Source organism: Homo sapiens, chromosome 4 (genome assembly GCF_000001405.40).
Source record: "Homo sapiens chromosome 4, GRCh38.p14 Primary Assembly".
Taxonomy (NCBI): domain Eukaryota; kingdom Metazoa; phylum Chordata; class Mammalia; order Primates; family Hominidae; genus Homo; species Homo sapiens.
In genome coordinates, this window is record NC_000004.12 from 36,512,359 (window position 1) to 36,524,813 (window position 12,455).

A 12,455-nucleotide genomic window follows, 5' to 3' on the forward strand; every position below is an offset into this window, starting at 1 on the left:
CAGTTGGAGGAATTGTTCCTCTTTCTGAGGAAATTCTACAGTTAATAAACCATGAAACTGTGAGTTGTTTAAGTACTAATAAGCTCACTAAACAGGGTTTTATGAACAGCTGTTATCTATGTTGTGCCAGATGATACCAAGTAACTTTCTGAGGAATACATTTTTTTATGTAATGAGGCTTAATATATTAAATTACAATTCAGAATGTATAATTATTGTTTTTCCTTTCCCCTGGACAGTACCCTACATCACTACATAGCCCCCTGAGGCGGTTGTGGGGGGGGGCGGGGGTGGTATGAGGAAAACGTTTACACAGAAGGAAACATTTGAAGACAATTTTTTAATAAACAGAATAACATGAAGCATGGGCATTAGAATTAGGTGGAACAAGGTCCAATAATTATATCTAGAACATATTCACTCTTTCAACTAATGAAAGCCATTCTCATGAGGTTTCAGATGGAAATGAGGAACATTGAAAACTTAAGGAAAGGTCATTCTTGTTATGAATTGTCAAAGAACTTGGCTGAACTGTGTTTATGTTGTAATGTTTTATGAAAAGAATAACTTGTGAGAGACAGAATACTTGCCTGAAGAAACTTCTTTTTTTTTTTTTTTTTGGAGACAGTCTCTCTCTGTCAGCCGGGCTGGAGTGCAGTGGCACGATCTTGGCTCACTGCAACCTGCGCCTCCCAGGCTGAAGCAATACTCCTCCCTTAGCCTCCCAAGTAGCTGGGATTACAGGTGTGTGCCACCACACCCAGCTAGTAGAGACGGGGTTTCACCATGTTGGCCAGGCTGGTCTGGAACTCCTGACTTCAGGTAATCTGCCCACCTTGGCCTCCCAAAGTGCTGGGATTACAGGTGTGAGCCACCGCGCCTGGTCTGGTTGAAGAAATTTCTAAGCAAATTATTGAAGGTGCAGTTTGGCTTCTATTGAATGCTAACAGTAAACTATGAGAGAGAGAAAAGCACTTAAAGATGGATTTCTTAATCAAAAGGGAAAGGAGGAAAATATCACCTTTATCAATGAGAAAGGCTATATTGGAGAACGTTCCTTCACATCTGTGATAGAAGTGGATTCAACACCACATGTCAGTCTAAGGACAACTTTCCCCTCAGTCTCAGGCAGCATTAAACAATGGATGCCTCTTACGTGGAAGCTGGATGCTATGAAAGTTATGTTGGCTGGACGTGGTGGCTTAGGACTTTAATTCTAGTACTTTGAGAGGCCGAGGTGGGTGGATTGCCTGAGCTCAGGAGTTTGACACCAGCCTGGGCAACATGGTGAAACCCTGTTTCTACTAAAATACTAAAAATTAGCCAGGAGCGGTGGCACTCACCTGTCGTCCCAGCTACTGGGGAGGCTGGGGCAGGAGAATCGCTTGAACCCAGGAGGTGGAGGTTGCAGTGAGCCATGAGCCAAGATGGTGCCACTGCATTCTAGCCTGGGCAACAGAACAAGACCCCGTCTCAAAAAAAGAAAAAAAAAGTTATGTCATGGAGATGCTGACAACACCACTATGTTCAGGTAGGCAGGGTCCCCAAAGAAGAAGAGTATGAGCTACGCATCCACATTTCCTCTCCCAAACTTACTAATAAAATAAGCTACTTCTCAACTTCTAAAGCAAGGAAGCTACTCCTGTCTCTGAAGCATAGAGAGGCCAAGAATATTACTCCAGGTGGTGTACCTTCAGGTAGAAGTATCTCAGGGGAAAGGCAGCTCCCCTTCCTCCCAAAAGGTTCATACTTTGGTATATTCTGTTATTACAGCTACTAGGCAGCATTCTGGGTTTTTTCTGCCTATTTAAAATGCTATAGTAGTGAGCTCTTTCTATAACTTCCATAACTTCATTTGGAAAACCCTTTTCATCCCTTTTTGTTCATTGAAACTTGATCAATGTTTAATGTTCTGTCATCTAAATTGCATGAGACTCTCTCTCCTTTCTCCTGCCCCCAAGAATATCTGTTTCACCAAAACAAATGCCTATAGCTTAGTCAAGGGCATGGAGCAAGAAGTGGGTGAGCAGATTTTGGCATCAGGCAAACAGGACTGCAAATCCTGGCCCTGCCACTCATTAGCTATGAGAAATGAGGTAAAGAAATAAAAATTTTAAGTTCTGTTTTCCTCATCTGTAAAATAGAGTTGTATTAGTTTTCTTTGATCCTATAACAAATAGTCACAAATTTAGGGGCTTAAGACAATACAATTTATTGTCTTAGCAGTTCCAGATGTCAGAAATCTAAAATGAATCTCACATACAGAAATCAAGGAATGGACAGGGCTGTTTTTCTTCCAGAGGCTCTAGGGGATGATCTGTTTCCTTGCTTTTTCCAGCTTTTGGAGACCATCTGTCTTCCTTTACTACTGGCCCCTTCCTCCTTCAAAGTTCATTATTCCAACCTCCACTTTTATTATCATCTCCTTTTTTAAACTTTGACCTTCCCTCTTATAAGGACCCTTATGATTACCTTAGACCCATCTGGATAATTCAGGAAAATCTCCCCATTTTTTGATTCTTAACTTAATCACACTAACAATGTTCCTTTTTGCCATGGGGGGGAACACCATATTTACAGATTTTGGTGATGAGACTGTGGACTTCTTTAGGGGTTAGCCTAAAATGAGGATTATAATAGTATCATTTATATGCTTGTTACAAAGATTAAATGAGATAGTGCCTAAAAGAAGTGTATAATATGGTAATCTTTCAATTAATATTATTATTTTAACTTTCTTAATTTATTTTTAATTGATAAGTAAAATTGTATAAATTTATTGTGCACAACATATTGTTTTGAAATATGTATACATTGTGGAATGGCTAAATTGAGCTAATTAACTTACATTACTTTGCATACTTATTTTTTGGTAGTAAGAAGAATTAAAATCTACTCTCTTAGCAAAAACTTTGAAGACTACAGTATGTTGTTATTAACGGTAGTCACCACGTTTTACAATAGATCTCTTGAACTTCTTCCTCCTATCTAACTAAAATTTTGACCAATATCTCCCACCACCCTGACTCCAGTCCCTGGTAACTGACATTCTACTCTATACTTCCCTGAGTTCAACATTATCAGATTCCTTATATAAGTGAGATCATACAGTATGTGTCTTTCTGTGTCTGGTTTATTTCAGTCATTGCAATCTCCTCCAAGTTCATTCATGTTTCAAAAGTGACTGGGTTTCCTTCTTTTTTAAGGTAATATTACTATTTTTAAGAGTCTTGCTGCTGCTGTTGTTTGAAACCACAAAGAATAAATAATTTGAGTCACATAATTCAACATTTCATTTTATACTGTAATATACTGCGTGATTACATTTAATTTGCTTTAGTGTTGTCCAGCGAATATTAGTCATTCCTCTTCAGAAACTCTTTTCCAGAATTTTAGGGAATATCTGGACTTCCATAGTAGGAAGTGGCCATGGAAGGAATTCTACCAAGAGAGGAATTTCTATGTGAAATTTCCAGTCTCTTTTTCTGCTAAGGTGAAGGCACATAGTTTAGGCTCTGCCAATCAGATGCATCTGTGCTGAATGTTGAATCAGAAGATAATGAGGTCCAAATGGAAGCTCTGTGTGGGAACCATTTCGGTGAAGCTGATGGCAACCCATCTAGTTTCCAGAGAAACAGTGCAAGAGGTTCAGGCTGGAGAATCCACAGCGCATCACCCTCAGGACTCTAGCCACAAGCCACAGTGTCTGGCCCTGTGGTAGCAGTAGCATCTCCCCACAAACAATACTTCAGTGTGATCTGTGGCACAGTTTCTGGTTTCACAGCCCCCAACCTTGGCATCTCAGGAAATTAGGAAGGGTATCTGATATCCTGCTTAAAACAGATAAACATTGTTTCTTCAAAAACTACAAACTCAGACATTTTAATCTTTACTATTAATGTGATTTATCTCTGAGGGAAGAGATTCTACATTTTTCTTTGTATCTTCTGTATAGCCTAAAAGGTGATTATATAGAATATTAATGGAAATTAAATGCTGGGAGCTTGGAAGTGGATAATATAAAATTGGATCTTCTCTTGGTACCAGTAAGCAAATATAACCCAAATTACAACAAGACACTTTTCTAGATGGCAATATCAGAATATGACCAAGTCAAGGTCATATTAACAAAAATCAATATGAACATACGATTGTCAAGGTTAGACTCAAAGCCAAGTGAAACTTGATTATGTCTGGGCTTGCAATACAGAAATGGGTTCAAAAGTGTAAAGTAAACGGGTTCCAGAAAGAGAAAAGATACATTACGATGTGGCATTCCCTAAAGCCAGTGCTTTTCCTCTGCATAGCAATCAAATCCTACTTTAGCTGAAGTAGGAAGGGACTATTGAGTGCTTTGGATAAAGTGGCCCCACTTGTGTTATTTTGAGAAATAATCAGTTAAGTGTCCTTTCTTATGATGTTACAAGTTAAGAGGTTCAAGTTATTGATTTAGGGTATTTCAAATTGCACAATATGAAAGCAGGAAATTTCTTTCTACTTTCGCTAGAACATATTTTTCAAAATGTCACTATAAGGTGACATCACCTAACGGCCTACTTCTTACTTTGCTGAATAACATAGAAGTGTTTAAAATACATTCAGTAGAATATGGCTTTTAAACATAGAAGTGTTTAAAATACATTCAGTGGAAGTCCTGATGTTATGCCTATTTTATGCTGCATCATTCAGATCTTTTCTGCTCCCATTTAACACTGGCTTCTGGTTTATTAACACACCTTAATTTTAAGAGAATGGACATTATAACCTGTGTACTAATTAGGAAAAAAATTATGCAACAGAGTTGGTTAGAAATATTATTTAAACTTGGAGAGAAAAGACTTATTTTGAAGAATAACATACCAACTTTGTCCTGACCAGACTTACTTATAAAAAATTGCTAAATTGACCTACCATTAGACCTTAAATTATATCTATAGGTAGACACCTGAAATTAACTTTCAATATCAACTTCTCCTTAACCAGAGTGTTGAGGAAAATGGGTTCAAATAGGTGACTTGGTTAATGTTCCATTTCTGCTGTTTTCCTTTTTTCTTCACATCTTTTCCATCTTTTTTTACAGTTTTGTTTCCTGTTTTTGTGCATTAGGGGAGGAAGGGAGAAAGGATGAGCGAGGACTTTCATACTGTTTCTGCAACAAGCCATGCAAATTAGTTATTGTTTCTAATATGGAGGCTTTAAGCAAATCTTTGTATAAGCCAAAAATTTGAACACCTACCCAGAGGCTTTATGGAAGGAATATATACAGGTCTCCTTAAGAGTTGAAGGAGTTACATTCTGAAAAGAAGGAGTAAATATAACTATCATCTGGGGAAAAGGCACATCAAGGTCATGAACAAACACCTTGGGATTATTTGCCTGCGTATTTCTGGGTGATGTGGCTGAAGAAATGAGTTGATTATGGGGATTAAGGCATTGAAATTACTTTCCCTCATCCCTTTCCCCATTTTCTTAACCAGAAGACTAGGTTATGTGTAGAAGACACAGAATACATAATAAGGCATGAAGATTCAGTATGCACGAAGTCGAGAACTAAGGCTGTAAATTCAGATAAGCCTGGGTTAGAATATTAGACATAACACTTCCTAGTTAAGAAATTTGGGATACATAATTTCACCTCTGTGCCTCACTTTTAATATCTATAAAATGAGGATGATAATAGTAACTTTAGACTGCTTAATCACTACTTAACATTTTAAATAAATATATGGAAGGTATTATCTTGCTAAAGAAGTAACAATCATAAAAGACACTCAAGTATGAGCAAATGGTGTGGGAGTAACTCCCAGTGCATCTTCTGTTTCAGTAATCCAGTTTTGTTCTTTTCCTTCTTCAGCAGCCCCTTTGCAATAAAGCAAGACCATGAGGATTATTGACCAACGAAAGGGACAAAAGCATCATAGAGTAGAAGAGAGTACCACATGGAGAAACATTCAACCATCATGAAGAGGAAGTTGACAGCCTTTCTACTTATCATCAGTAGATAAGCCTATCTACTGCTTACAGATACCCATGGAGAAATCAATAGTGTAGTGAAAAAAACAGACACTAGTTAACTGGTTTCTTTCTTTGAGTAAAAGGCTGGAATTCTTTAAGGTGTGTTACAAATAAAAGGAATCATAGGCTTACATTTTTTGAAGAAAAAACTCCAGGGTAACAAACTTGCTATTCATTCATTCAGGGTATTTACCTGGAAAGTCCACCATTAAGCTACATGCTCAGCCTGGTGCCAAACCCAAAAAGACACAGGAAAGTAGGTTAGAAATGGCTGAAGGAGGTGACTACATAGGTGTTGAGTGCCAGTCTTCTCAGATACTTCATGGAATGAGAGTATCCAGAAGTTACTGAGTCCTCCCTAGTGGGCTTTAGTGAGCTGGCTGGAAAACTCATCAGAGATAACCACCATGAAATATGAAGTGACCCTGGAGCAAAGGCCATCACACTTTCCAAACTTGGATTGCAAGAGAGTCATTGCTGTAACTTGGGGCATCCGAAGTACCAGTCAAAGCAAAAATGGGGTGCCTAGTCAGAGAGATATGGCCAAGTTCCCTGGAAAAGCACCATGTCTTGCCCTTCTCAAAGAGAACAGACCATGAGTAAATGACTCATGGACGCTTCAGCAGAAAGTGCGTTAACAACAGAGGCTAAATCACAGAGACATGCCAAGTCTCCTGAGGTAGAAGAAGATGGCACACAGAGGTCAGCCCCGTACCCAATGCTATGAAGTTATACATACTTCTCCCTATATTCAGACACAGGATTTTGTAAATGAGGATAAGATGAGGCAGCCCTCAAGTGAGGAAAAATAAGCTTGATAAGGAGTTTAAATTTTGAGATGACTGAATATTTACTGGAAAGAAACTGTTGTAAACTGCATGTGATAAAGTCATGTTTAGTTAGAAATTTTAAGTACATTTTGTCCATTAAGAAATGGAAGTTCTAGCACAAAAGGAGATGGATGATGAAAAGTCAATAAAATTGCATTCAATTCTAGTTTATCTTATTCATTTTGATGATAAATGTTTTTTAAAATACCCAATATAGGGCTGGGTGCAGTGGCTCACGCCTGTAATCCCACCACTTTGGGAGGCCGAGGCTGGAGGATCACGAGGTCAGAAGATTGAGACCATCCTGGCTAACATGGTGAAATCCCGTCTCTACTAAAAACACCAAAAATTAGTCGGGTGTGATGGCGGGCGCCTGTAGTCCCAGCTACTCGGGAGGCTGAGGCAGGAGAATGGCGTGAACCCGGGAGGCGGAGCTTGCAGTGAGCCGAGATCGTGCCACTGCACTCCAGCCTGGGCAACAGAGCAAGACTCTATCTCAAAAACAAATAAATAAATAAATAAAAATAAAAATACCCAATATGGAAAGAGGAGTCTATTGGTCAGGAACTTAGAGTGCAGGAGATTGGCACAAAGTCACACTTTGGAGGACTGGCTGGGCTCTCCAGCTGCACTGGTCACTGCAGCAAGCACCAGTGAGGTGGAACGAGAATCTCTGGGTGCTTCCTGAGTGTCTTACATATTTTTAATGAGATGATGGAGCACCTTGAAGAAATCTAGCACACAAAGATCAGGACTGCACCTCCTCTAGCAGAGAAGCAAGGATTTCAGATTGGACAGACTTCTGTGGTGACAGGGTACAACAGGTACTATCTTAGTGTACTTTATATTGCTTATAACATGATATCTGAAACTGGGTAATTTATAAAGAAAATGAATTAATTTTTTACATTTTTGGAGGCCATGAAGTCCAAGGTTGAGGATGTGCATCTGGTGAGAGTCTTCTTGCTGGTAGGGAATTTTATTTTTCCTTTTTTTTTTTTTTGTGAGACAGAGTCTCGCTCTGTTGCCCAGGCGCTATCTCAGCTCACTGCAAGCTCTGCCTCCGGGGTTCACGCCATGCTCCTGTCTCAGCCTCCCAATTAGCTGGGACTACAGGCATCCGCCACCACACCCAGCTAATTTTTTTGTATTTTCTAGTAGAGACAGGGTTTCACCGTGTTAGCCAGGATGGTCTCGATCTCTTCACCTTGTGATCCGCCCGCCTCAGCCTCCCAAAGTGCTGGGATTACAGGCGTGAGCCACCGCGCCCAGCCCTGTTAGGGGCTTTTTGCAGCACCCCCTAGTAGCACAGGGCATGACATGCGAAGGGGGCTGAGTATGCTAACATTCTAGCTCAGGTCTCTCTTCCTTTCCTCATAAAGCCATCAGTTCTACTCCCATAGTAAGCCATTAATTTATTAATCCATTAACTATGAATGAATTAATTTATTCATGAGGGCAAAGACCTCATAACCCAATTATCTCTTAAAAGCCCTAATGCTCAATCTTACTACATGGGAGACTAAGTTTCAACATGAGTGTGGGAGAGGGCATTTAAACCATAGCATGCACATGCTAGGAATCAGTTAAGAGTCTAGTTCTCACTATTTCTTGGGGAAAGAAGACACACAAGAATCCAAGAGATATTCTCCATTGTTTGATTTTTGTCTCACTTCCCTCGAAGTCCTCAACTTATTTAATATATTTCATATGTATTTTTCATTTTCTTCCAAATACAAAATCAAATAATAACATACTCCATTTAGCAAACCTAGAATATAATAAAAGAATAGTAAACAGAGTAAAAACACCTAGTATGATTCACTACCTTATGCTATGGTTTGGATGTTAAACCATTTGGATGTTAAAATTTGATCCCCAATATTGGAGGTGGGGATTAATGGGAGGTGTTTGGTCATGGAGCTGGATCCCTCATGGATAGGTTAATGTCCTCCCTCAGGGGTGACTATTACTTTCTGCAAAAGCTTGTTGTTAGAAAGAGCCTGGCACCTCCCTGATTTCTCTTTTGCTTCCTTTCTCATCATGTGGTCTCTTGCACACACACACCAGCTGCTCTTCACCTTTGGCCATGAGTGGAAGAAGCTTGAAGCCCTCACCAAATGCAGATGCCAATCTTGAACTTTTCAATTATTAGAACTATGAGTCAAATAAGCCTTTTTTCTTTATACATTGCTTGGCCTCAGGTATTCCTTTATGACAACACTAAGTGGTTCAGGGCATCCTCATTCCTCATTCCATGAATTCTATTTTACATAACTGAGATCATAATTTGTAGTAATTGTTATGCCATTTAAAAGTCTCATTTCACTGCAAATCAAAATCACAATGCAATATCACCTTACTCCTGCAATAATGGCCTTAATCAAAAAATAAAATAATAGATATTGGTGTGAATGTGGTGAAGAGAGAACACTTTTACACTGTTGGTCAGAACGTAAACTAGTACAACCACTGTGGAAAACACTATGGAGTTTCCTTAAAGAACTAAAAGTAGATCTACCATTTGATCCAGCAATCCCACTGCTAGATATCTACCCAGAGAAAAAAGAAGTCACTTTACAAAAAAGATACTTGCACATGCATGTTTATAGTAGCACAATTTGCAATTGCAAGAATATGGAACCAGCCCAAATGCCCATCAATCAATGAGTAGATAAAGAAAATGTGGTATATATTTATATACCATGGAATACTACTCAGCTATAAAAAGGAACAAAATAATGGCATTTGCAACAACCTGGATGGAATTGAAGACTAATCTTGTAAGTGAAGTATCTCAGGAATGGAAAACAAACATTGTATGGTCTCATTTATAAGTGGGAGCTAAGCTGTGAGAACTCAAAGACCTAAGAATGATACAATGAGCTTTGGGGACTTAGGGGGAAGTGAGGGAGGGGGTGAGAGATAAAACACTACACATTGGGTACAGTGTATGCTCCCTGGGTGATGGGTGCACCAAAATCTCAGAAATCACCACTAAAGAACTTTTCCATGTAACCAAACACCACCTGTTACCTAAAAGCCTATAGAAATAAAAAATAAATTTAAAAAAAGTCATATTTCACTTAACAATATATTATAAACATTTTGTCTTTTTATTTCATTTTATAGGAGGCTTTCCCTTGAGGAGAATTTTTAGAAACAAATTCTAAGACAGAATTTTCCTAGGGTATCAGTGCTTGGGTTTTCCCTAGAATTTCGGAAGCATCAAGCCATGAAGCTGAAGAATAAGTTTAAGAATAGGTTTAAGAATAGGTTCTTAGTTTTGGCCAAACATCAAGATTGAATTAACATTCAAGGATAATATTGAGATGCTTTAATGAGAGACACTAGGGAGGGGACTAGGAAAGGCTGGTAGGGCCATGTGAGCAACATTCAGGTCTCACATATGAGGAAGAGAGAAACAGTTGAGGGAAATGTCCTTGACTGCTATAGAGGAGAGTTGTTGGGCCATCAGAGAAACCCTGGTCAGCCTTAGTTGCTCCCCATATCCCCTACCTCCCGCCTCACTGGCTGGTAGTAGCACCATGAGTGGCATGTCCTTTGGGCACACCAGGTGATGGATTTTAAAGCTCAGAAGTTTTATCTCAAAGTCAGTTACGGTCCCCACATTTTGGTCTGCCGGGGATATTCTTTTACCCGCCAACTCGTCCTTTAGAGCTGAAGAAAGGGCATTTAGGAGTTTCTCACAGATTTCTCACCAGTTTATTTTTGAACCAAATATCCTTTACTTTAGGAAAATCATCAAAATAATCTTTAATGTTGGTTGAAGCCATTATGTAAAAATATAATTTTTGGCATACTAAAAGAATTGAGCAATGATAAGTAAAGGCTTGCTTTATATTTAAGACGAGAAGAAAGGTGAGTTTTTGAAGCCCTATTCTAATGGCCCCGGCCTTCACCTTTACATTTCAAAACTTGAAGTACATTTTTACATACTCTCAATCACCTTTGCTTCCCTTCTACAACTTTATCTCAGACATCTTTATTCTTTTCTACACATTTCCTCTATGTTTGAGCAGCTTTTCTGTCCTGCTGGCTTGGTGGCTGCTTGTGTTTGTGTATAATTGTAACTCTTACCTGCAAGCACCTCTTTGAGTCTTTAAAGTCTTCTCAGTGTTTCTGCTGCTGTTGAAGTCTATTGTTAAGCTATCCAGTGCTACAAAGCAAAAGCTTCTGGGGGTCTGCTGCTGAGAGGCATTACACACTGCATGCTTTTGTGTATAAGGTGATTTGCTCTTTCAAATGACTTTTCTAGTAGAAATAATGTTTTGAAGCCAGAGAAAGGGCATTTAAATTTTTCACAGATTTCTGGTTATAGGAATAGTAGTACCAACTTATCTTTGGGAAAAAAAACTCCTTGACTTTGGGAAAATCATTAAAATGGGTATTTTATTTACAATAATGTTAAAGAAGCAATGTTCCCTTGTTCTTAGAAAGAATTATAAAGTCAAAACTACTCTGAAGGCAGTTGGTTGAAACTAAAACTATGGAAGAGTTTTCCTTAGTCATTTAAATATGATATACATTTAGCAGAACGGTGCCCTTGAAGTTTTAAGAATGTTTCTCTAAATGATATAAATACCTAACACCCTCTGAACTCTCTGAATTCTTAACATTCTCTGAACTCTTCTCTCCTTCCTCCTCCCTCCCTTCCTCCCTCCCTTTCTTCCTTCCTTCTTTCCTTCTTTCTTTCCTTCCTATTTTTACAATATGGCTCTTGTGTTAGTCCAATCATTTTCTCAAAGACATTTTATGAACAGCACATGTCTGTGTAGATAGACCTGATGCTACATGTCTCAAAGTTCCCAAAACTAGCTGGTAAAAAGAAGATGGACCCGAATGCTGGGATGTTATTCATGATGCTCATTTTCAATGACTCTTCAGAATTTAAAAATTTTCCTGTCGTATAATATGATTTTCTCTCAGCCACTTTTCTGCTTCTAAGGAAAGCAATATCTATTCCCACTATCAATCCCTCTGTGGTGGGAAATTAACTGGGTCTTGGAATTGAGAAGTAATAACTGTCATCTAGCTCTAGGTCCAAAGAGACCTGGGAGCCATGGATCTCAGTTAAGATGGAGATTTCCCAGAATCCCTATTGGTGAGAATTGGACAGACTTCCAGCAATTGGAAACTCAAAGATCATTTTTCTAGTTCCATATATACACATTTCCCAACATTGTATTTTCTTATCTAACTTTTGGTAAAGTCCTATATTAAAGGGCCATTTTCCCTGTTTCTTCTGTATAAACCACTGTTCGTTTTCTCATTTGAACATTTCTTCCAGTTATAAGTTTTGATTTTGGGACTTTGACAGTAATAAATATAGTGTGTGTGTGTGTGTGTGTGTGTGTGTGTGTGTGTGTGTGCATGTGTATACATGTACATATAAATATACCCACTTAATATGTTCTGATTACATAGAATTTCCATTTGTATGTTAAGTTCGGGTATGCAAATCTAAACCCTTCATCTCACTCTCTTTTCCACTCTTGTATCTCAATATATATATGCTGGAACAGGTTAGAATACTAAAAAAGAGTACTAATAGATGGTAATATATACAACATGGATTAATATAATAAA

At 38.6% G+C, this 12,455-nt stretch overlaps 1 long non-coding RNA gene across 1 annotated transcript in view, besides 1 other annotated feature; it reads right to left on the bottom strand.

Moving 5' to 3' along the window:
- LINC02505 (long intergenic non-protein coding RNA 2505) overlaps positions 1–12,455 on the bottom strand; it is a 145,364-nt gene that overhangs the window by 15,822 nt on the left and 117,087 nt on the right. The gene's annotated exons all lie outside the window — the stretch shown is intronic.
- Positions 1,586–1,755: an enhancer, noted in NCBI's record as "experimental_78504 CRE fragment used in MPRA reporter constructs". NCBI's record gives its function as "activates a minimal promoter by MPRAs in K562 erythroleukemia cells, with activity observed for the non-introgressed 4:36515651 variant allele {active_cell/tissue: K562}" and the evidence as "EXISTENCE:reporter gene assay evidence [ECO:0000049][PMID:34662402]".